The sequence below is a fragment of the Homo sapiens genome, chromosome 1 (assembly GCF_000001405.40).
Source record: "Homo sapiens chromosome 1, GRCh38.p14 Primary Assembly".
In the NCBI taxonomy this organism is placed as follows: Eukaryota; Metazoa; Chordata; class Mammalia; order Primates; family Hominidae; genus Homo; species Homo sapiens.
In genome coordinates, this window is record NC_000001.11 from 224,249,757 (window position 1) to 224,275,133 (window position 25,377).

The following is a 25,377-nucleotide window of genomic DNA, read 5'->3' on the forward strand; positions in this document are numbered from 1 at the left end:
AGGGTCTTGCTCTGTTGCCCAGGCTGGAGTACAGTGGTGTGATCACAGCTCCCTGCAGCCTTGACCTCCTGGGCTCAAGCAATCCTTCCACCTAAGCCTTCTGAGTACATGGTCCCACAGGTGGGTGCCACCATATCTGGCTAATTTTTTCTATCTTTTGTAGAGACAGAGTCTCAGTATATTGCCCAGGCTGGTACCAAACTCCTGGGTTCACCTCGCCCTCCCAAAGTGCCAGTTTCTCCAAAAGTTTCTACTCCATTTCAAATATGATCTGATGTAAATTATTTTAAAGTAATAATCGAAGATCAGTTCACCTTCCCTTTGGGAGATATAGGCTGGGCAAACACAGCTACAGAAAAGAAAGTAATCAGTCAACGAAAATTACTACCTCTTATAACTGTCTCTATTTAAAACAAGAGAAACATATACAAAAATATACCATTTCCTTTACTCACTTTTGTGATAGTTTTTAAGATGGCAAGGCGATCTGCAGGGGGCGGTAAACCCACAAACAGTGTTTTGTCCAGGCGGCCCGGGCGCAGGATTGCAGGGTCAATTATATCTAGAGAAGAAGGGAGAAAAAAAGTCTTAAATAAAACCTTTTATTTTTATTTTTTTATTTTTTTGAGAGAGGGTCTTGTTCCATCTCCCAGGCTGGAGTGCAGTGGCATGATCTCAGCTCACTGCAGCCTCGACCTCCCAGGCTCAGATGATTCTCCCACCTCAGCCTCCTGAGTAGCTAAGACTATAGATGCATGCTATCATGCCTGGCTAATTTTTTTTCTTTTACTTACTTTAATTAATTAATTAATTTTTATTTCAATAGGTTTTTGGGGAACAGGTGGTGTCTGGTTACATGAGTAAGTTATTTGGTGGTGATTTCTGAGATTTTGGTGCACCCATCACTGGAGCAGCATATACTGTACCCAGTGTGCAGTCTTTTATCCCTCAACCGCTCCCACTCTTTCCCTCGAGTCCACAAAAGTCCACTGTATCATTCTTATGCTTTGTGTCCTCATAGCTTAGCTCCCACTTATGAGTGAGCACATAAGATGTTTGGCTGGTTAATTTTTTATTTTTAGTAGAGACAGGATTTCGCTATGTTGCCCAGGCTAGTCTTGAACTCCCGAGTGCAAGCAATCCGCCCTTCTCGGCCTCCCAAAGTGCTGGGATTACAGACGTGAGCCACTGTGCTCAGACCAAATAAATAAAATCTTTTAAAAAATGCAATTAACGGCTGGGCGCGGGGGCTCACACCTGTAATCCCAGCACTTTGGGAGGCCAAGGCAGGCAGATTACCTGAGGTCAGGAGTTCGAGACCAGCCTGGCTAATATGGTGAAACCCCGTCTCTGCTAAAAATACAAAAATTAGCCAGGTGTGATGGCACACACCTGTAATCCCACCTACTCGGGAGGCTGAGGCAGGAAAATTGCTTGAGCCTGGGAGATGGAGGTTGCAGTGAGCTGAGATCGTGCCACTGCACTTCAGCCTGGCCAACAGAGTGATACTGTCTCAAAAAAAAAAAAAAAAAAAAAGCAATTAACATGAGATGAGAATAACCTCTTTATAAAAAATAAAAAATTAATAAATTGCATTTTATTTAAATGAAAAGCTTCTGCTCATCAAAATACATCTCTTCGGCTATGCATGGTGGCAGATCACCTGAGGTCAGGAGTTTGAAACCAGCCTGGCCAACATGGTGAAACCCTGTGCCTACTAAAAAAAACAAAACATTAGCTGGGTGTGGTGGTCCACACCTGTAATCCCAGCTACTTGTGAGGTTGAGGCAGAAGAATCACTTGAACCTGGGAGGCGGAGGCTGCAATGAGCGGAGATCGTGCCACTGCACTCCAGCCTGGGCGACAGAGCAAGACTCTTGTCTCAAAAACAATAACAAAAAAACAAAACATGTCCTTAAGTAAATGAAAAGTCCACCCCACCTTCCGGCCCCAAACTGCTCTTCTTCCAGGATTCCCTATCTCAGATAATGATCACCACACCACTCCACCCCACCCTACCTCCCAAATACCAGGCAGGTTTCTCCCTTCCCTCTAACCAATTTCCATCAAGCATTCCTCTGATTACGTCAACCCTCAGTAAAGGCAAAATGTGAGTCCTCCTAAATGGTCCTGCCTCTAGACTTCCTCTCTCTGGGCCTCTTTACAATGCCGCTAGTGTTATTGTCCTAAAATACACGTCCAATTCTCTCAAATTCCGCTCCCACTGCAGAATGAATCCTCCAGCTGTCACTATGGCAGGAAATCCCTTTAGGATCTGACCATCTTCCTTTCTGGTTTTATTCTTCCTACACATTCTTCCAACTCCCACGCCCTGTTTACACCAGATGTCTTGCTGTTCCCTAAACAATCCAGAAGCTTCTTGCCTTCTCTGTGCTCTCAGTGGTTCCCTTCCCTGAAGTGCCTCCCTCCTCATTTATACCTGTGGGAATTCTCAAAGGACACCTCTTTCAGGAAGTTTTCCTTGAGTCCCCCCAGATAAACTCTCTCACCTTCCTTTGTGCTTGCCAGACCCTTGGTATCAGGAGCACAGAGCAAGCCCCATACCTGAAGCTCATTTTGACCATTCCTGACTCCTCCACAAAGACCCCATTTTTAATAAAATCACATCATTTCCAACAGTCCCTTAACCATTAATATGAGGGTTCTTATAGCTCACAATGTTCAGACACAGGCTATAATTAATGAGATTCACGTTTCTAATAAACCTACTAAGACTTAACCAATGAGTTACTCCTCTACAAAGAGGTAAATTATTATTATTCCCTTTTTAGCTAAAATTCCAAACCTGTTAGATGTTGTTCTTTAACCACCTTATGGAACCCATATACTTATTATTCAATGGTTTCATCACTATTCAGCACATTGTTGGAATTCTCTCTTGGAATGCTAGGATTCCATACTTGGAAATAGGAAAGAATATTACTGCATAACACTTTCAATATCATACTAGAGCATGGTTCAACAAGCCTAAGGGTCTTCTGACTCTACAGAGCAGAGGTTGTCAAATATTCATGTCTCAGAATCCCTTTGCACTCTTAAAAATTATTGAGGACTCCTTTGTAACCTTTCTCTCCTGCCCTTACCTGCTCTCCTTTATCCTTAGGCAGCCACCTATCTGTTTTGGCACTATAGATTAGTTTGCATTTTCTAAAGTTTTATGTAAGTGGAATTATACAATATGTACTGTGCTTTCTTTCATGCAACATAATCATTTTGGGTTTCACCCAAGTTGTTTCATGTGTCAGTAATTTTCTTGTACAAGTCTTTGTATATGCTTTTTTTTTTAATGACAGAGTCTCACTCTGTCACCCAGGCTAGAGTGCAGTGGGGCGATCTCGGCTCATTGCAACCTCTGCCTCCTGGGTTCAAGCAGTTCTCTGCATCAGCCTCCCAAGTAGCTGAGATTACAAGTGTGCCCCCCTGCCCCCCACGCCCGGCTAAGTTTTCTATTTTTAGTAGAGACAGGGTTTCACCATCTTGGCCAGGCTGGTCTTGAGCTCCTGACCTCATGATCCACCCGCCTTAGCCTCCCGAAGTGCTGGGATTACAGGCCTGAGCCACGGCTCCCAGGCTGTATATGCTTTCATTTCTCTTCAGTAAATTACCTAAGTGTAAGATACCAGTAGTATGGCCATATCAAACTGTAGGTATATGCTTAACTTTTAAGAAATTGCTGGCCGGGTGGAGTGGCTCACGCCTGTAATCCCAGCACTTTGGGAGGCTGAGGCGGGAGGATCACAAGGTCAAGAGATTGAGACCATCCTGGCCAACATGGTGAAACCCCGTCTCTACTAAAAATACAAAAATTAGCTAGGCGTGGTGGCACATGCCTGTAATCTCAGCTATTCAGGAGGCTGAGGCAGGAGAATCACTTGAACTCAGGAGGCGGAGGTTGCAGTGAGCCGAGATCAGGCCACTGCACTCCAGCCTTGGGACAGAGCAAGGCTCGGTCTCAAAAAAAAAAAAAAAAAGAAAAGAAAAAAAGAAATTGCCAAACTGTTTTCCAAACTACTTGTACCATTACATTCCCATCATCAGTGCATGAAAGTTCCAGTTCCTCCATATCCTTGCCAACATTTGGCACAGCCAGTCTTTTCAATCTTTTAGTTATTCTAAGGTTTGTAGTGCTTACTGTGGCTTTAATTTGCATTTCCCTAGTGACTAATGGTGTGAAGCATTTTTCATGAGTTTGCCATTTGTACACCTCCTATGGTGAAGTAACTGTACAAATCTTTTGGCCATTTTTATGTTTAAAGTTGATTAAATAATTTTGTAAACTGACAAAGAAAAATGGTATATATTTAGGTTGTACAACATGTTTTTTTTTGTTTTGAGATGGAGTCTCACTCTGTCGCCCAGGCTGGAGTGCAGTGGCATGATCTCAGCTCACTGCAACCTCTGCCTCCCGGGTTCAAGTTCATTCTCCTGCCTCAGCCTCCTGAGCAGCTGGGATTACAGGTGACCACCACCATGCCCGGCTAACTTTTGTATTTTTAGTAGAGACGGGGTTTCACCATATTGGTCAGGCTGGTCTCGAACTCCTGACCTCGTGATCCACCTGCCTTGGCCTCCCAAAGTGCTAGGATTACAGGCATGAGCCACAGTGCCTGGCATTTTTTTTTTTTTTTTTTTGAGATGGAGTTTTGCTCTTGTTGCCCAGGCTGGAGTGCAATGGCGCAATCTCAGCTCACCGCAACCTCTACCTCCTGGATTCAAGTGATTCTCCTGCGTCAGCCTCCCAAGTAGCTGGGATTACAGGCATGCACCACCATGCCCGGCTAATTTGTTTTTTTTGTTTTTTTTTTTTTTGTATTTTTAGTAGAAACAGGGTTTCTCCATGTTGGTCAGGCTGGTCTCGAACTCCCAACCTCAGGTGATCTGCTCATCTCGGCCTCCCAAAGTGGTGGGATTACAGGCGTGAGCCACTGTGCCTGGCCAACATGTGTTTTTAAAATGTGTATACATTGTGGAATGGCCAAGTTGAGACAACTGACACAGGCATTACCTCATATTCTTATTACTTTTTTTGTGGTAGATCACTTAAAATCTACTTTCTTGGCAATTTTCAAGTACCTTTTGGCTACTTTTAAAATGGTGTAGTTTTTTTTTTTTTTTTTTGAGACGGAGTCTCTGTCGCCAGGCTGGAGTACAGTGGCATGACCTTGGCTCACTGAAACCTCAACTCCCAGGTTCAAGCGATTCTCCTGCCTCAGCCTCCCAAGTAGCTGGGATTCCAGGCATGCACCACCACACTCAGCTACTTTTTGTATTTTTGGTAGAGACGGGATTTCACCATGTTGGCTAGGATGGTCTCGATCTCCTGACCTCATGATCCGTCTGCCTCGGTTCCCAAAGTGCTGGGATTACAGGCATGAGCCAATGTGCCTGGCCCAAAATGGTGTAGGTTTTTTTTTTTTTTTTTTTTTTCCTGAGACAGGGTCTCGCTCTGCCGTCCAGGCTGGAATGCAGTGGTGCGATCTTGGCTCACGGCAAGCTCCACCTCCCTGGTTCTCGCCATTCTCCTGCCTCAGCCTCCAGAGTAGCTGGGACTTACAGGTGCCCACCACCATGCTCAGCTAATTTCTTTTGTATTTTTAGTAGAGACGGAGTTTCACCATGTTAGCCAGGTTGGTCTCGATCTCCTGACCTTGTGATCCGCCCACCTGGGCCTCCCAAAGTGCTGGGATTACAGGCGTGAGCCACCGCGCCTGGCCTAAAATGGTGTAGTTTTTAATCCTTTATCAGATATATGCTTTGCAAATATTTTCTCCTAGTCTGTGGTTTATCTTTATATTCTCTTATTTGCATTTTTGTAAGAGACTGGGTCTCACTACACTGCCCAGGCTGGCCTCGAAGTGCTGAGCTCAAAGGATCCTCCCACCTCAGTCTCCTGAGTAGCTGGGTTTACAGGCGTGTACCACTGTACCTGGCTTATTGGCACTTTTGAAGAGCAGTTCAGTTTATCTATTTGCTCTTTTATGGTTTACGCTTTTAATATCATATAGGAAATCTTTGCTTAATTCAAGGTAGAAAAAAATTTCTCCAGTGTTTTCTTCCAAGAGTTTTATAATGTTGTTTTCAATGGTCTTTGATTCATTTTGAGTTATTTTTTGTATGTGGTAAAAGGTATGAATTAAGGTTCAATTTTTCTTTTTGCATATGGATATTCAGTTGCTCCAGTACCATTGTTGAAAAGACTATACATTCTCCACTGCATTGCCTTTGTGCTTTTTAAATACATCAACTATCTAGATATGCATAGGAATATTTCTGGATTTTTTTTCTGTTCCTTTTATTTATCTGTCTCAGCTCTATGCCAATTACCATGCCGTTGAAACATCTTTTAATTTAAACATATAAATACATGCCAGGCATGGTGGCTCATGCCTGTAATCCCAGCACTTTGGGAGGCTGAGGCGGGTGGATCACTTGAGGTCAGGAGTTCGAGACCAGCTTGGCCAACATGGTGAAACTCCATAACTACTGAAAATAAAAAAATTAGCTGAGCATGGTGTTGCATGCCTGCAATCCCAGCTACTCGGGAGGCTAAGGCAGGAGAATCGCTTGAACCTGGGAAGCGGAGGTTGCAGTGAGCCAAGATCGTGCTACTGCACTCCAGCCTGGGCAACAGGGTGAGGCTCCATCTAAAAAAAAAAAAAAAAAAAAAAAACCCACAGAAAACTCCCCACAAAACACATCTTAAAGCCAGTTCTACATGCCCCAAGGTAAAGGGGAATACTGATGATAATTATAAAGCATTCTTAGTTTGGGAGTCCTATAATCACTTAACATCTCTGACAAATATCACACTTAATATTATGCAGTTTATTATTTTAATAAGTTATTTACAGTAAAAGGCATTCTGGACACTTTATATAAATTTTAGTATTAGATGACTTAAACTACACTTCACTAAAGGCTCCTGCAAGATTCTATGTATTACATCATTAGAAATGAGATGCTAATCTCTTCCTAGCTCTTCCCTAAACAGGCCCCTACCATTGTCTTTCCCGTCTTAGTTAATGTGAACTCATTCTCCCGGTTTTTCAGGCCCAGACCTTGGAGCCATGCTTGATTCCACTTTCCCACATCCTTAACTACTCCATTAGCAAATCAGGTCAACCCTATGACACAATATATTCAGATTCCTTCTACATCCACAGCTATCACCCGGCTCAAACCACCACCACCTTGCACCTGCATTATTCTTACAGCTTCCCAACTGGTTCCCTATCTAATTATGTCAGAGACAGAATTCTTTTTTTTTCCTTTTGCCCTCTCAACCCAGCTTTTCCCAACTTTGGGAAATCTGGGAAGAGAAAGCCTAAGAGACAGAATTCTTAGGTAGAAGACAAAAAATAACAATTCTGATATTTACAATAAAAATGGCACTAACAATCCCAGCACTTTAAAGAGAAAGTGCATTCACTCACAAATGAGATGGTTGCCTGAAAAAGAACCCTCCTTTCATCTGTTGATAAGCAGCACCTACTGTTCTTTATAAAGCACCTACCTCCCCTCAAAAAAGCTATTACAGCTTGCCATGGGTAAAAAACATTAATTAAAAAAGAAAAAAAAAGTTAAAATTGAGAGGTAACAGTAGCAACTTTTAACTTTAGGAAAACATTATTTTGTTATAAATGGACCCTCAATTTTTAACAAAGGTAACAAGACAATTCAATGGGGGACTAATTAATCTTTGCAACAAAGGTGCTAGGACAAGTGGTTTTTTGTTTGTCTGTTTGTTTGTTTGTTTGTTTCTTTTTTTGGAGACAGGGTCTCACTCTGTAGCGCAGGCTGGAGTGCAGTGGTGTATCATAGCTCACTGCAGCCTTGATCTCCGGGACTCAAGCAATCCTCCCGCCATAGCCTCCCAAGTAGCTAAGACTACAGGCATGCACCACCATGCCCATTTAATTTTGTTTTGTTTTTGTGTATTTTTTGTAGAGATGAGGTCTCACTATGTTGCCCAGGCTGGTCTTGAACTCCTGAGCTCAAACAATCCTCCCATGTTGGCCTCCCAAAGTGCTGGGATTACAGGCATGAGTCACTGCACTGGGCCCGACAAGGGATATTGACACTCAAAAGAATCAATTTGCACACTTTCCTCACAACACGCAACAAATTAACTCAAAATGGATCAAAGACCTAAATGTAAGAGCTAAAATTTTATGAGAAGAAAATGCAGGAGTTAATTTTAGTGACCTTCGGTTAGGCAATGATTTTTACACCATTGATAACACCATCAAAATTGCAAGCGGTAAAAGACAAACACATAAATTGGAATTTATCAAAATTAAAAACTTGTGTTTCAAATGACATCAAAAAAGTGAATAGACAACCCACAGATTGGTGAAAACATATGTAGATCACATATCTGATTTTAGATTTGTATCTAGAACAAAGAACTCTTACTACTCAATGACAAGGCAAATAACCTAATTGAAAAATGACCAGACATATCTCCAAAGAAGACATACAAATGACCAACAAGCACAATAAAAGATGCTCAACACTATCAGTTATCAGGGAAATGCAAATCAAATCAGAATGAAATACCACCTCACATCCACTAGAATAACTATAATAAAAAAAGACAATAACAGGTATTAGTAAGAATGTGAATAAATCAGAACTGTCATATATTTTAATGTCAAAATTACTAGTGGGAATATAAAAATGATGCAGCCACTTTGGAAAAGAGTTTAGCAGTTTCTCAAAATGTTAAACAGGGAGTTACCATATGATCCAGCAATTCCACTCCTAGGTATAGACCCAGGAGAAATTAAAACATATGTCCATACAAAAATGCATACATGAATGTTCATAGCAGCATTATTCATAATAGCCAAAAAACAGAAACAGCCCAGATGTCCAACTGGTGAATACACAAAATGTGGTATATCCATACAACGGGATATTATTTCATAATAAAAAGGAATGGAGTATTGATACATTCTATAATATGAATAAATCTTGAAAACATTATGCTAAAGAAGCCAGATTTAAGAGCCCTCATATTGTATAATGCTATTTACATAAAATATCCAGAATAGACAAATTTATATAGACAGAAAGTAGATGATGGCCAGTAGCGACACATGCCTAAAACCTCAGTACTTTGAGAGGCCAAGGCAGGGGGCATGCTGCAGGCCAGGAGTGCGAGACCAACCTGGTTAACATGAGACCCTGTCTCTACATTAAAAAAAAAAAAAAAAAAAAAAAAGGAAAGTAGATTAGTGGTTGCCTAAGGCTGGAGATGAGAAAAGGAAAACTGAATGCTAACAGGCATGAGATTTTTTAAGGGTGATGAACATTTTTTTTTTTTTGAGATAGGGTCTCACTCTGTTGCCCAAGCTGGAGTGTAGTGGCACAATCTCGGCTCACTGCAACCTCTGCCTTCTAGGTTCAAGCGATTCTCCTGCCTCAGCCTCCTAAGTAGCTGGGACTCTAGGTGCGCACCACCATGCCCTGCTAAATTTTGTATGTTTTTGGTAGAGACGAGGCTTCACTGTGTTGGCCAGGCTGGTCTCAAACTCCTGGCCTCAAGTGGTCCACTCGCCTCAGCCTCCCAAAGTGCTGGGATTACAGGCATGAGCCACACATGGCCCAGGTGATGCAAATATTCTAAGATTAGATTGTTGGGATGGCTGTAAAGCTATGTAAATATACTCAAAACCATTGAATGATATACTTAAAATGGGTAAATTTTACGATATGCCACTTACATCTCAGTAAAGCTTTTTAAAAAAATGAATCCTCAGACTAGCAACACTATAAATATATCCATTGAAAATAATTACAAGATCAGACAACCTTCATGAAATAGGTTTCTACTCATGATTCATTAAACAAATAATAATAATAAGAATGATGTTTTTTGTTTGTTTGTTTTGAGACAGAGTCTCCTTCTGTTGCCCAAGCTGGAGTGCAGTGGCACAATCTCCGCTCATTACAACTTTCACTTTCCAGGTTCAAGCAATTCTTGTGCCTCAGCCTCCCAAGTAGCTGGGATTACAGGTGTGTGCCACCATACCCAGCTAACTTTTTTTTTTTTTTTTTGTATTTTTAGTAGAGACGAGATTTTTGCCACGTTAACCCAGGTTGGTCTCAAACTCCTGGCCTCAAGTGATCTGCTCACCTCAGCCTCCCAAAGCGCTGGGATTACAGGCATGAGCCATCGCATCCAGCCGTAAACAAATAATTATTGAGCTCTACTACATATCATAGCATCTATAACTCAGCCAAAGTTCTGGCTGGGCATAACCTAATTTTAAAAGGGCAGTACTGTGCCAAAGGGCAAAACATACAGGGTTGACCATGGCACCAAGTCATTGTTCAATTACCTTCAAATGCATTCAACAATGACCCAAAGCATCCAGACTAGATGTGTAAGGAAACACTCTATTTAGCTTGGAACTTCAGTGGTAAATATCTTAGTACAATGAAATAAATACCTTCTCTGTGAGTCATCCACTCTTTCATCTGATAATTACTATTATTTTTTGAGACGGAGTCTTGCTCTGTCACCAGGCTGAAGTGCAGTGGCGCGATCACTACAACCTCCACCTCCCGAGTTCCAGCGATTCTCCTGCCTCAGTCTCCTGAGTAGCTGGGACTACAGGCACGCGCCACCATGGCCAGCTAATTTTTGTATTTTCAGTAGAGACGGGTTTCACCATGTTGGCCAGGATAGTCTCGATCTCCTAACCTCGTGATGTGTCTGCCTCAGCCTTCCAAAGTGCTGGGATTACAGGCATGAGCCAACACACCCAGCCTTCATCTGATAATTATTAAACGCTTAGAATGGGCAGAGCCTCTAACTAGAACCTATCTCTCAGATATAAAAGTGCAGAATGAATCCCTGCCCTGCAGAAGCTTGCACATCTAATCATAATTTGCTTATTTATTTCTTCTTTTCCTTTTTTTTTTTTTTTTTTTTGAGACAGGGTCTTGCTCTGTCATCCAGGCTGGAGTGCAGTGGTGCAATCATAGCTCACTGTGGCCTCAAACTTCTAGTTTCAAGTGATCCTCCTGCCTCAGCTTCCCAAGTAGCTGGGATTACAGGTACACACCAGTGCATCTGGCTAATTTTTATTTTTATTTTATATTTTTTGAGACAGAGTCTTGCTCTGTCACCCAGGCTGGAGTGCAGTGGCGTGATCTCGGCTCACTGCAACCTCTGCCTCCTGAGTTCAAGCGATTCTTCTGCCTCAGCCTCCCGAGTAGCTGGGACTATGGGCACGTGCTACCACGCCCAGCTGATTTTTTTATTTTTAGTAGAGACGGGGTTTCACCATGTTGGCCAGGCTGGTCTCGAACTCCTGACCTCATGATCTGCCCGCCTCGGCCTCCCGAAGTGTTGGGATTACAGGTGTGAGCCACTGCACCTGGCCTAATTTTTATTTTGTAGAGATGGGGTCTTGCTTTGTTGCCCAGGCTAATCTTGAACTCCTAGCCTTAAGAGATCCTCTTGCCTCAGCCTCCCAAAGTGCTGGGATTACAGGTGTGAGCCACCACACTTGGCCCTTATTTATTTTTTCAACTGAGCCATGCATAGAAGGCAGAAACTCTTTCTGGATTATACTACTGGTAGAAAATACGTAATTATTGAGTAGAAGAGAAAGTAATAAGATATTTGGGTTTCATAATTGTGCAGGAATATCTTTTTTAAACAGCTAGATAATAGATTAAGGGGGAACAGGTAGTTCCCTAACTGAGAACATCGTTTACTGGAGTTGGTATGTGAAAAAGAGAATGCAAAGATGTGCATAGGAGAGACTAAGGTTAGGGTACAAAGAACTGCATTTCCTCTGGTTAAGCAAAAGGAAGTTCGCTTATTTCCAGAAGAAGATGTGGACTTTGATATAGCACACATTAGAAGAGGGCTAGGGCTATGCACGGTGGTTCACACCTGTAATCCCAGCACATTGTGAGGCTGAGGTGGGAGGATCGCTTGAGCCCAGGAGTTTGAGACCAGCCTGGGCAACATAGTGAGACGTCATCTCTACAAAAAAGTTTTTTTTTTTTTTAATTAGCTGGGTGTAGTGGTGCGTGCCTGTAGTCCCAGCTACGTGAGAGGCTGAGGTGGGATGATCTCTTGAGCCTAGGAGGTTGAGGCTGCAGTGAGTGGTGATTGCACTACTGCACTCTAGCCTAGGCTATAGAGTGAGACCCTGTCTCAAAAATACAAATAAATAAATTAAATAAAAGAAGAGGGCTGTCCCAGTTCTTCAGAATAACCAAAGGTGGAATGGTGAGAGGACAGTATTTTCATTTACTTTCTAAGCATTAATACCTCAATAATTGGGAAAAAAATTAAAGGCAAGAAGATGAAAAATAAGAAAAAAGAGGACATTTAGGAGATCAGTCCAGGAGGGTTTAAGATCCAAGTGCTAAGCACACAAATTAAACAAACAAACAAAAAGTCACATAGAAGGAATGAGAATGACATGGAACCTTTAAAAGAAAAAAAGCAATGTCTATAAATTATGAAGAAAAATAATTTTAAACTCAAAATTATATCCCAGCTAGGTTACTAATCAAAATTAGGGTGGAATAAAGATATTTTTAAATATAAAAGAACTATGGGGGATGGTCTCACATTTGGAAAAACAAATCAAATATACAAGCAGTCAAAAAAATCTACTTCCTACATAATCTTTCTTAGAAAAGCCACTGAAAGATAAGTACCAGCAAAATGAGGGTGTAAGCAAGATAAAAAAAGTACACACAAAAAACCCATGAGATCAGAAAAAAAGGGCAAACAAAGGAGAACAGTCAAGGAAGTCCTGAAATAACAGCTGTTTAGACCACAGGCCTAAAGCAACCAGTCCAGATTAGAGCCAGGAAGGTGGAAAGCTCCAGAGGGAGGTCTCCAGAAACAAACAAACAAATGGAACTGGTACATCGTTTGAATAAATAACATCGACAGCTGTATAAAATATGTGATGAACAGTAACAGAAAACAAAGCAAAAGAAAAAAATGAGGGCCACTGAATCCAAGGACAAGAGTTATATGAGAAAGGAAACCTAATCAGTGTCATGCTTGGGTCAGCAGAGAGAAATAGTGACACAGCCATAGTAATGTAAACACTAGTGACTTAACCAAGAGTTCTGATCAAACTATATTACAATACTGGGAGAATGGGGAAGAGGACAGATGATGTGGCAGTGATGGTGGGAGTGGAGGGTATGGAGAAAGGGTGAACATAAGATAACTAAATCTTCATCTACCTTAAAATGAAGTTAATGGGCAGTGTTTAAAATTGATAAGAAATAGCCATAAGAGCATATTTGAAAATATGAAGGAAAAAAATAGCTCAAGTGGTTGCCTCTGGGCAGGGGATTAGAAGGGATGGGAGAGAAAACTACAGTTTTTGTTATAAGCTTTTCCTGCCATTTGATTTGAAACTGGGTCCCTCCCTCTATATGTCAAAATTACAACTGGAGATGAGATTTGGGTGGGGACACAGAGCCAAACCATATCACTCACCAAGGTTCAACTTTTGCACACATGTAGTTTTCTCGTAGGGCTGTTGTGAGGTTTACAATGGTAAAGCATCCAACAGAGGGCCTGGCACTTAGTAGGTGCTCCAAGAACCTAGTTGTTATTACTGGTGATTGTTTTAAATAATATGGACTTGTAAAGAAAATGAAATAAACTTATTTTCATCTCCTTGAACAGACATTTTAGAAAAGTTGGTCTTTTTCTAAAGTGTCCTTTTTCTCCAAGTGTCCCCTATCTCAGAAGTGGCAAAACATTTTACCCAGTATAGGTAAAACAATCTAACAATAAGAATAGCCCTTATTTATTTTCTTTCTCTTATCCCACATCTAATTCCAGAAAATCCTATTAGTTTTACTTTCAAAATGTGTCTCAAATTTTACCACTTCTTACTTCTCCCATTAAGCTCACACAAATTCTCCATGGACTGTAGATCTTCTGGCTCAGAGTATCTTTTGTGTCAAGGACTTCTTTGGAATACAGAAAGTTTATAGACTGCTTCTTAAACATTTTTCAATGTATAAAGTAAAAACATCAGAAAGATTACAAGGTGAAACCCCATCTCTACTAAAAATACAAAATTAGCCGGGTGTGGTGGCACATGCCTGTAATCCCAGCTACTCGGGAGGCTGAGGCAGGAGAATCACTTGAACCTGGGAGGCAGAAGTTGCGGTGAGCCGAGATCATGCCACTGCGCTCCAGTCTGGGCGACAGAGCAAGATTCCGTCTCAAAAACAAACAAACAAACAAACAAACTCCAAAAAGATTATAATTATTTGGCAGCCGGGTTGGGAGAGAGACCAAGGATTGTGAAGACATTGTGAGTAAAGAGGCCACTGTGGAAATGGATTCTCTGGTCCAGCCACTCCAGCTGATAGTACGTGGATCCAAGATGAACCACCCAGACAAGCCCATCCCAAATTCCTGACCTAAAAATTGTGAGCCAAATAAAAATGGTGATTTTTTTTTTTTTTTGTGAGATGGAGTCTCACTCTGTCGCCCAGGCTGGAATGCAGTGGTGCTATCTGGGCTCACTGCAACCTCCGCCTCCTGGGTTCAAGTGATTCTCCTTCCTGCCTCAGCCTCCTGAGTAGCCGGGATTGCAGGCGCCCACCACCACGCCCAATTAATTTTTGTATTATTAGTAGAGATGGAGCTTCACCATGTTGAGCAGGCTGGTCTTGAACTCTTTACCTCAAGTGATCCTTGGCTTCCCACAGTGCTGGGATTACAGGTGTGAGTCACTGCATCCAGCCACAAATGGTGATTTTAAAGCACTAAGCTTTACAGTAGTTTGTTATGCAGCAACGGCTAACCAGAACATCAAGCAAGAAGGGAATTCTTAAAGCTAAGCAGAGAAGTTATAAGCAATCAAAACAATGTCACGTGATAGTATACAATGGAGCAGAACTGCCAAATAAGCATGAAAACAAGTGAAGAAGATCTAGAACGTTTATTATTATTATTATTTTTTGAGACAGAGTCTCGCTTTGTCACTCAGGCTGGAGTGCAGTGGTGCAATCTCGGCTCACTGCAACCTCCGCTTCCCGGGTTCAAGTGATTCTCCTGCCTCAGCCTCAGCCTCGCAAGTAGCTGGGACTACAGGTGTGTGCCACCATGCCCGGCTAATCTTTTTTAATTTTTAGTAGAGACGGGGTTTCACCATGTTAGCTGATGGTCTCGATCTTCTAACCTTGTGATCCGCCGGCCTCGGCCTCCCAAAGTGTTGGGATTACAGGTGTGAGCCACCGTGCCCGGCCAGAACATTTATTTTTAAATGTAGGTCGTTAATGCAACAGATTTGTTACAGGGGAAAAAAGGATGGAAGAGTTTTAGGGGAAGACAATATACACACATAGGGAAAAAACAAAACACCGGTACCACATTATGATTCATCTGCCATTTCTGCCATTCTTAACACAGGTTTTAAAATAAACAGGCCAGGCGCAGTGGCTCATGCCTGTAATCCCAGCACTTTGGGAGGCCGAGGAAGGCAGATCCTCTGAGGTCAGGAGCCGAGACCAGGCTGGCCAGCATGGTGAAACCCTGTCTCTACTAAAAATACAAAAATTAGCTAGGCGTAGTGGCACGTGCCTGTAGTCCCAGCTACTTGGGAGGCTGAGGGAGAAGAAATCTTTGAACCCAGGAGGCAGAGGTTGCAAGGAGCTGAGATCACACCACTGCACTCCAGCCTGGGCAGTAGACCAAGACTCTGTCTCAAAATAAATAAATAAATAATAAAATAAAATAAACAAACTTAAAATATGGTGCGGGCTGTTAACGATAGAATAGGTTATTACAGGAAACGAAAGATTGATGCTGTGGTTTGAACGTATTCCCCAAATTTCACGTGTTGGAAACTTAATCCCCAATAAAACAGTGTTGAGATGTGGGACCTTTAAAAGGTGATTAGGTCATGAGGGCTCTGCCCTCATGAATGATGCTGGTTTCAAGAGAGTGGGTAAGTTATTACAGGAGTGGACTCTTGATAAAAGGATATGTTTCGCCACTCTCACTATTTTTTAAATAATAGAGACAAGGTCTCACTATGTTGCCCAGGCTGGTCTTAAACTCCCAAGCTCAAGCGATCCTCCTGTCTCAACCTCGTAAAGTGCTAGGATTACAGGCATAAGCCACCATGCCCAGCTTGGCCACTTTCTTTCTTTTTTAATGTCTACTCATTTGTTAACTATGTTTCTGTATGATGTTATTAATATACTGCACATATGACAAGTCATACATCAAAACCAGATAGTACAAACAATTAAACAGATAATAATTTTAGCATTTTCTGTCTCACCACTAACAGATATTAAGCCCATCCTTACTAATTTATGCTCCTCACTTTAAAAAGGATGATCATATACTGGAAAAAACTGGATCAATGTATTTCTTCAATGAGGCTTTTTTGAGAGAAACAGGGCCCTCATTTCCTACTCCCCAGGATCCCCCCTCTCTCTGCTTCTTTCTTCTCCAGACTTCCTCCAGTGAAACTAATCTTTTGCTATACAAAATGCTTTTTGGTAGGCTGAAGAAAACAGTTGTTTAGCTCAGGCAGTTGAGATAAATGTCCAAAGATAGGGTAAAATTAATTAAACTTTATTTGTCCACCTTTACTCATGGGACCATGGTTTCTTCCTGTCCAGGCCACTTTCCTTTTGCTCTCTCATGCATGCTCTTGTGCTCTTCTACCCTTTCGCCTTGGGGTGATGCAGCAAGAAGGCCCTTGACAGATGCAGGCCACTCAGCCTTGACCTTCCCAGCTTCCTGAACTAGAAGAACTGAATCTCTTTTCTTTTTAACACAAATTACCCAGTTTCAGGTATTCTGTTACAGCAAAACAAAACAGACTAAGACAAGCATCTTCTTGAAATATGTGAGAAAAGATCTGTATCTGCTTATGAAAGGGACGATGTGATTCTGTTCAACTCTGAGGGACTTTCTTCTAGGATGACTCTGTGATTTTATGACCTAATGACTGTTCCCACTACTATTACCAAACTGCTTATGAACATGATAACAATTACTAAATAGCTACGTGCTGTTTAACACCACTGTGGCAGATACATTACCAACATCATTTAACTTTTGTGGCAATCCTGCCAATTAAGTATTATCATCTTCATTTAAAAAGTGCCAAAATGATGGTCAGCAAGATAAAGTAATATAGTCCCAAGGTTACTATGGTATAATACAGAATATAACTGGTCTTTGCCCACCTTTCCTGGCATAGATCTTCAAAAATCCTTGCAATTTCCTGAGTGCCAGGAATATCTTTGTTGAGCTAATGTGGTGACGCATAGTGGCCCCACAGATAGCTTCGGGCAGGGGACTGATCACCAGAAAGATCAAGCATGTGATTAGAGTTGTAACTCCGAGCCATCTTCTGCACTTCTGTAGTCTTGAGCCCTTTTCTGAATCCCTCAAAGAATGCTTAACCTTGAAAACAATTTTCAGTAATTATTCAGGGCAGATATAGGGGCATGGCTCCAGCATAAAATCCTAAAAATCTATCTTTAACTTCTACTAGAGTGAAGAGTCTCGTTTTTGTTTCCTATAAGCTAGAGAGAAACCACAAAACACAAATTCTGAAAATACTTTTGTGGTCAAAAGTGTATGCTGGTCGGGTGCAGTGGCTCACGTCTGTAATCCTAGCACTTTGGGAGGCCGAGGTGGGCAGATCACCTGAGGTCAGGAGTTCAAGACCAGCCTGGCCAACATGGCGAAACCCCATCTCTACTAAAAATACAAAAAATAGCCGGGCATGGTGGCAGCACCTGTAATCCCAGCTACTCAGGAGGCTGAGGCAGGAGAATCACTTGAACTCAGGAGGCAGAGGTTGCAGTGAGCCAAGGTCATGCCACTGCATGCCAGCCTGGGTGACAGAGCGAGATTCTGTCTCAAAAAAAAAAAAAAAAAAAAGTGTATGCTGCAACTGTTCTCAGCCAAAAAGAGCTTTCTAAGCACCGACACAGAAAAGCAATCTCATGGGATCCAAGCAGTAATACTATACTTTTTACTATAGCTTATGCAAAAGCTTTCTAAGCCTTTATTTCAACTATGAAGTTTCCTTTCACAGAACCAAAAATGGATTGCCCAAATTTAATCTTCCTTTCCTAGGATGCATGTGAATTATATTGTTTATAAATGCTACTAGTTTTTACTTTTATTTTTAATTATCTGAATCTCTTCTACGGAAATGCTGTAAGTTTTTAGATTCATCTGTGTTACAATATTTTTATTTCTTACCTGGCCTGTTAGTGGCTGCCATAATAAAAACCTGCTGGCGTGCTTCCAGACCATCCATCTCTGTAAGTAGCTGATTCACCACTCGGACACTTGCCCCTGTCTAAAAAGACATAAATCTGGTTCCATCAGCTCTCAATACAAAGGAAAAATACCCATTTTCTTCCACATAAAAATAATACATTTCCCCATGCAAAGGAGATAACAATGATAATTTTCTGAGGCGTCACTATATGCAGACACTGTGCAAAATGTGTTCTCATCAGTGGACCTCCCCAGCAATCCTATTATTATCCAGTCTAAATGAGGAAAGTGAGGCTTAGAGGGATTATTTGTCCAAGTTCTCATCACTAGATAAAGGAAGAAATGAGACTCAATCTCAGGCTGAATGGATCCCAAGGTCTGATGTTTTCGAGTTACTCAAAGATCTAACCGTCACAATACACTTCCCTTGGGGCAAATCTACAGCTAGCTTTCGTTTCTTTGGTAGAGATGGGGTCTTGCTATGCTGTCCAGGCTGGTCGTGACCTCCTGGCCTCAAGCAATCCTCTTGCCTCAGCCTCCCAAAGTGCTGGGATTATAGGTGTGAGCCGCTGCACCCCACCAAGACTAAGCTTTTTTGTTTGTTTGTTTGTTTTGTTTTTTGAGATGAAGTTTCACTCTTGTTGCCCAGAATGGAGTACAATGGTGTGATCTTGGCTCACTGCAACCTCCATCTCCCAGGTTCAAGCAATTCTCCTGCCTCTGCCTCCCAAGTAGCTGGGATTACAGGCGTATGCCACGATGCCTGGCTAATTTTGTAATTTCAGTAGAGATGCGGTTTCACCACGTTGGTCAGGCTGGTCTTCAAACTCCTGACTTCAGGTGATCTGCCCACCTCGGCCTCCCAAAGTGCTGGGATTACAGGAGTGAGCCACTGCGCCCGGCCCTAGACTAAGCTTTTGAACCCCAAATTTCCCAGTATATCAGGTATTCTAGATCTCATTTTATTTTATTTTTAAAGCCAGTCAAATTTAACAGTGGGAGGTTGTATACCAACTTTGGTGAGACTAACTTTTTTTTTTTTTTTTTTTTTGAGACAGGGTTTTACTCTGTAGCCGAGGCTAGAGTGTACTGGTGTGATATCAGCTCACTGCAGCCTTCCCCTCCTGGGCTCAAGCAGTCCTCCGACCTCAGCCTCCCAAGTAGCTGGGATTACTGGTGTGTGTCACCACGCCTGGCTAATTTTCATATTTTTTCTAGAGATCCTGTTGCTATATTGCCCAGGCTAGTCTCGAACCCCTGAGCTCAACCAATCCTCCTGCCTTGGCCTCCCAAAGTGCTGGGATTACAGGCTTGTGCCACTGCACCTGGACGACACTAATGTTAATAAGTTCTGATAACCCACCACCATTAGACATTAGACCAGCCAGGTGTTCCAGATCTTTTTAGTGCAACACATACAAGAGTATCTGGGACACTGAGGTATTTTCTCTTTTCCTTGAAGCAAATAATACAAAGTACAGCTACCTCAGCAATATCTAAGTGAAAGGAAACATTCAGGGAGTTGGTATAAATTCAGGGAGGGGGATAAATCACTTAGATACAGAAACAACAAAAAAGTTTTAAATGAAGGAAATGAGAAAAGTGGTGCTGTGTTTTTGGTCATTAATTGCTTTTCTTCACCATAAATTTTATGTACAGAGGTGGTAATGGGCTTACCTCATTTCTTTCTTTCTTTTTTCTTTTTTTTTTTGAGACAGGGGTCTTGTTCTGTCACCCAGGCTGGAAGTACAGTGGTGAGATCTCAGCTTACTGCAACCTCTGCCTTCTAGGCTCAAGCAATCCTCCTACCTCAGTCTCCCAAGTGGCTGGGACTACAGGTATGCACCACCACACCTGGCTAATTTTTCTCTCTTTTTCTTTCTTTTTTTTTTTTTTGTAGAGCCGGGATTTCACCATGTTGCCCTTGCTGGTCTTGAACTCCTGGACTCAAGCAATCTGCCCACCTCGGCTGCCCAAACTGCTGGGATTACAGGTATGAACTACCGCGCCCAGCTTACCCCACTGATTTCTCTAGAAAAAAAAAAATTGGTGCTCCTTATTATCACTCCTTGGTAACATAACACTAACAGAATCATAATCCATACTCAAAAATATAAGGAAGTAATGGGTAAAAAACATTTTTTCTACATAAGCAAGACAAACTCAGAGTCAATACAAGAATGACTGATAGATTTTGCTGCATTAAAGCCATAATATTCTGGCCGGGCATTGTGGCTCACACCTGTAATCCCAGCACTTTGGGAGGCCGAGACATGTGAATCACCTGAGGTCAGGAGTGCAAGACCAGCCTGGCCAACATGGCAAAACCCCATCTCTACTAAAAATACAAAAAATTAGCTGGGCATGGTGGTGGGAACCTGTAATCCCAGCTGCACGGGAAGCTGAGGCAGAAGAATTGCTTGAACCCGGGAGGCGGAGGCTGCAGTAAGCCAAGATTGCATCATTGCATTCCAGCCTGGGCGACGGAGTGAGACTCTCAAAACAGAAAACAAACAAACAAACAAACAAAACCTATAATATTCTATATAATAAAATTAAATATAAGTCATAAGACTGGGAAAAATAGTGTCAACACATAATTAAATAAAAGACTACTTTCCATCATAGAGTACCAATTAATGTAAAAAAAGAAAAAGACAGCAATAGCAAAAGGGTTGAAAGATAAGATCAAATAATTTCAAATCACTGGAGATAGTCAACCTCATGGTAATCAGGGACATGTATACTAAAATGTAATATGATTTGCCAATAAAACTGCCAAAAAATAAAAAGACAGGTATAATCCATTGTTGATAGGAAATGGTTATTTTCACACACTGTTGGTGGGCACATGTAACTGACAGTTTTTGTGAAGGATGATACAGCATTATTTTTCAAAATCTAATATATATCAATCTTCAACCCTGATTTTCACTTCCAAAAATCTATCTCATATAGTCCCATCACAGGTGCACAAAAATACGTGAAACAAGTTCAGCAGAGTTCTATTTACAACTGGAAACAATCTAAATGTCCAAAACAGGAGAATTATTATGTAAATTCTGCTGTATCCAGACTATTATACAATATCTATTTTTAAGTTATTACGTACATGAGAAAGTCATCAAGACAGAATGACCACATTTATATAAAAAATAGAAGCCTAGGTCCAGGCATGATGTAATCCCAGCACTTTGGGAGGCTGAGGCAGGAGGATCGCTTGAGGCCAGAAGTTCAATACAAGCCTGGGCAACACAGCAAGATCCCACCTCTAAAAACAAAAACTTAGCTGGGTGTGGTGGTGCACACCCGTACTACTAGCTACTCAGGCAGCTGAGGTGGGATCATTTCTTGAGCCCAGGAGCTCAAGGCAGCAGGCAGTGAGCTACAATCACACCACTGCACTCCAGCCTGGGAGACAGGGTAAGACCCTGTCTCAAACAACAGCAACAACAACAAAACAGAAGCGTAAAATATAAATTTTTTTATGTTTCTGGAAAAAATTCTAGAATGATGCATACTAAATGACAACTATTAGCAGTCTCGTAATAACCTCCAAAAAGAGTAATACGGAGGAGAATGGAAAGAAATTTACTCTCTTTATACTTGTGTTTTATTTGAATTTTTCACAAATGTGTATTCATGTATAACTAGTGCAATTAAAAAAGAATACATTTGCCAGGCGCGGTGGCTCACGCCTGTAATCTCAACACTTTAGGAGGCCGAGGCGGGCAGATCACGAGGTCAGGAGTTCGAGACCAGTCTGGCCAACATAGTGAAACCCCATCTCTACTAAAAATACACAAAAAATTAGCCAGGCGTGGTGGTGTGCGCCTGTAATCCCAGCTACTCGGGAGGCTGAGGCAGGAGAATCGCATGAACCCAGGAGGCAGAGGTTGCAGTGAGCCGAGATTGCGCCACTGCACTCCAGCCTGGGCAACAGAACGAGACTCTGTCTCAAAAAAAACAGAATGCATTCAAATTTAAAATGTTTTTAGAGGCCAGGCATGGTGGCTCATGCCTGTAATCCTAGCACTTTGGAAGGCTGAGGCAGGTGGATCACCTGAGGTTAGAAGTTCGAGACCAGCCTGGCCAACATGGTGAAACCCTGTCTCTACTAAAAAAAAAAAAATACAAAAAATCAGCTGGGCATGGTGGCACACACCTGTAGTCCCAGCTACTCAGGAGGCTGAGGCACAAGAATCGCTTGAACCCAGGAGGCAGAAGTTGCGAAGAGCTGAGATCGCGCCACTGCACTCCAGCTTGAGTGAGAGTGAGACTCTGTTTTAAAAAAAAAAAAATCAAATAAAAAGAAACAAAAAATAAAAATAAAATGTTTTTAGAATCTGCTTTAGGTGAAAATGTTAGAAAAGCAAACTATAGCTGGGCGTAGTGGCTCACATCTGTAATGCCAGCACTTTGGGAGGCCAAGGCGAGTGGATCACCTGAGGTCAGGAGTTCAAGACCAGCCTGGCCAAAGTGGTAAAACCCCGTCTCTACTAAAAATACAAAATTAGCCAGGTGTGGTGGCACACATCTGTAGTCCCAGCTACTTGGGAGGCTGAGTCAGGAAAATCGCTTGAACCTGGGAGGCAGAGGCTGCAGTGAGCTGAGATTACACCACTGCACTCCAGCTTGGGTGACAGAGCAAGACTCTGTCTCAAAACAAACAAACAAAACAAAAAACAAAACACAACAGGCCGTGCGCGGTGGCTCATGCCTGTAATCCCAGCACTTTGGGAGGCCGAGGCGGGCGGATCGCGAGGTCAGGAGATCGAGACCATCCCGACTAAAACGGTGAAACCCCGTCTCTACTAAAAATACAAAAAATTAGCCGGGCGTAGTGGCGGGCGCCTGTAGTCCCAGCTACTTGGGAGGCTGAGGCAGGAGAATGGCGTGAACCCGGGAGGCGGAGCTTGCAGTGAGCCGAGATCCCGCCACTGCACTCCAGCCTGGGCGACAGAGCGAGACTCCGTCTCAAAAAAAAACAAAAAAAACAAACAAACAAAAAAAAACACAACAAAAACACAAGAAAAGAAAACCATATATATCAGAGTATAGAAATGTATGGCAGTAGGCTGGGCGTGGTGGCTCACGCCTCTAATCCCAGTACTTTGGGAGGCCGAGGATGGTGGATCACTTGAGACCAAGAGTTCGAGACCAGCCCGGCCATCATGGTGAAACCCCATCTCTACTGAAAATACAAATATTAGCTGGGCATGGTAGCAGGCGCCTGTAATCTCAGCTACTCGGGAGGCTGAGTCAGGAAAATCGCTTGAACCTGGGAGGCAGAGGTTGCAGTGAGCTGAGATAGTGCCATTGCACTCCAGCCTGGGTGACAGAGCAAGACTCTCTCTCAAAAGAAAAAAAAAAAAAGAAATGTACGGCAGTAGACATCCAAGAAACAGATAAGGCTGCTCTGCCTATGGAGCAGCCATTCTTTATTCCTTAAAAAAAAGAGAGAGATAAACCAGAAGTTAGACATGTACTTCATACGGCTACAGACTTCTTTGAGGGCAACAGTTGACAATGAACCTCTCCAAATTTAGATTTACCAGCTGACAGTAGAGAGCTTCAAACCAATTGAAGGGGCTATGGACAAATGAAGGGTTTATTCATGGCAAAAGAGAGAGAATAAAAAGGAAAGGAATAAAATCCAGAGCATGCTGTGCCCTAACCAGCTGGAGATAACAAAGTGCTGTGTTTTGCTCCATAGCCCACAGTAGACTTTGGAATATGACTGGGGAACCTGGGAAGGATCTCTGCCTCAGTCACTGACATCACTATCAAAGATAAGCCTGTAGTAAGAATCTTCTATGATGGTATCAATGACTAGGATGAAGAAACAAAACCGCTAAAATGTGAGTCACATTTATTTATTTATTTATTTATATTAGTCATCCTTTTTTGTGTGTGACTTTTGAATGTTTTCGGAGATTTTTAGCAAAATGAGGCATGTAATAATGTTTTATGACCTAACAACACACACACACACACACACACACCCATATTGAAAATAAATCACAAAAGATTTCCTAGGTTTCAGAAATGATGGTAAAACTCTGTCTCTACTAAAAACTACAAAAATTAGCCAGGTGCGGTGGCGGGCGCCTGTAATCCCAGCTGCTCGGGAGGCTGAGGCAGGAGAATCGCTTGAACCCGGGTGGCAGAGGTTGCAGTGAGCCGAGATCACACCACTGCACTCCAGCCTGGGAGAAAGAGTGAGACTCTGTTTCAACAACAACAACAAAAAGAAATGTAACCATTCCTTCAGTCATCTTACAAGAAATGTACTTGTGGCCAGGCATGGTGGCTCACCCATGTAATCCCAGCACTTTTTGGGAGGCTGAGGCGGATACATCACCTGAGGTCAGGAGTTCAAGACCAGCCTGACCAACATGAGGAAACCCTGTCTCTACTAAAAATACAAAAATTAGCCAGGCATGGTGGCGGGTGCCTGTAATCCCAGCTACTCAGGAGGCTGAGGGAGGAGAATCGCTTGAACCCAGGAGGCGGAAGTTGCAGTGAGCCGAGATGCACCATTGCACTCCAGCCTGGGAGACAAGAGCAAAACTCCGTCTCGAAAAAAATAAAAATAAAAATAAATAAAAATAGCAGTTGCTATCTGCTTCAAAAAGGTTATATATTTATTGTTTATGTTATGCTTCACTAAGCTTCAAATTGTTATACAATAGCACTCCTAATAACAACTGTTTCTGGTACTCCGTACTGAAATCTCTAAGGACTGTGACTCAGTGTGGCTGACACAAGTGGTATTCAGTGCAGATCAATTTTATATCTTCTCCAGATATAAAATGGGTGTTGGGTCTTTTTTTATCTTCATCATTTTAATGTCCTCACTTTAAGAGAAAAGGTTTTGGGTCTTAAAAGTTAATAACCTGACCCTATTTTGAGTGCATGATATCTTAAACTGTATGTTTTCCTGTCTCAAGAACCCATTTAGCTCAAGAATGTTGTAGGATTACAAGATTATAAGGCAAGCTATTTAAAACAATATCATTTCCATACTTACCTACTCATTTGTGTGAATTAGGATGACCTAAAGATTGTGCAACCAA

General features: G+C 42.1%; 1 protein-coding gene and 1 non-coding gene across 19 annotated transcripts in view, besides 3 other annotated features; both read right to left on the reverse strand.

Annotated features, from left to right (window-relative positions):
* NVL (nuclear VCP like) overlaps window positions 1–25,377 on the reverse strand; it is a 102,828-nt gene that overhangs the window by 22,412 nt on the left and 55,039 nt on the right. For 10 of the 18 annotated variants that reach the window (NM_001243146.2, NM_206840.3, XM_017001383.2 and 7 more), the window contains 2 exons: window positions 18,278–18,377; window positions 456–562 (listed from right to left, as the gene is read on the reverse strand). In NM_001243146.2, the coding sequence (NP_001230075.1) occupies window positions 456–562; window positions 18,278–18,377 (207 nt within the window). Of the gene's footprint in view, window positions 1–455; window positions 563–17,247; window positions 17,468–18,277; window positions 18,378–21,888; window positions 23,746–25,377 lie in introns of those variants that run through there. The other 8 variants (XM_047421631.1, XM_047421621.1, XM_047421618.1 and 5 more) reach the window with 2 other exon arrangements.
* Window positions 4,954–5,879: an enhancer, noted in NCBI's record as "H3K27ac-H3K4me1 hESC enhancer chr1:224442412-224443337 (GRCh37/hg19 assembly coordinates)". NCBI's record gives its function as "activates a minimal SCP1, AML or CMV promoter by ChIP-STARR-seq in naive H9 embryonic stem cells {active_cell/tissue: H9 hESC(naive)}" and the evidence as "EXISTENCE:reporter gene assay evidence [ECO:0000049][PMID:30033119]".
* Window positions 6,991–7,285: a silencer, noted in NCBI's record as "tiled region #1236; HepG2 Repressive non-DNase unmatched - State 23:Low, and K562 Repressive non-DNase unmatched - State 15:Elon". NCBI's record gives its function as "represses a minimal TATA promoter and a strong SV40 promoter by Sharpr-MPRA in HepG2 and K562 cells {active_cell/tissue: HepG2 | K562}" and the evidence as "EXISTENCE:reporter gene assay evidence [ECO:0000049][PMID:27701403]".
* MIR320B2 (microRNA 320b-2) lies at window positions 7,284–7,354 on the reverse strand. Its single transcript, NR_031574.2, has one exon. It is a non-coding gene; the product is annotated as a microRNA 320b-2 (primary transcript).
* Window positions 25,057–25,257: a silencer, noted in NCBI's record as "peak721 fragment used in MPRA reporter construct". NCBI's record gives its function as "represses an SCP1 promoter by STARR-seq MPRAs in K562 erythroleukemia cells {active_cell/tissue: K562}" and the evidence as "EXISTENCE:reporter gene assay evidence [ECO:0000049][PMID:32103011]".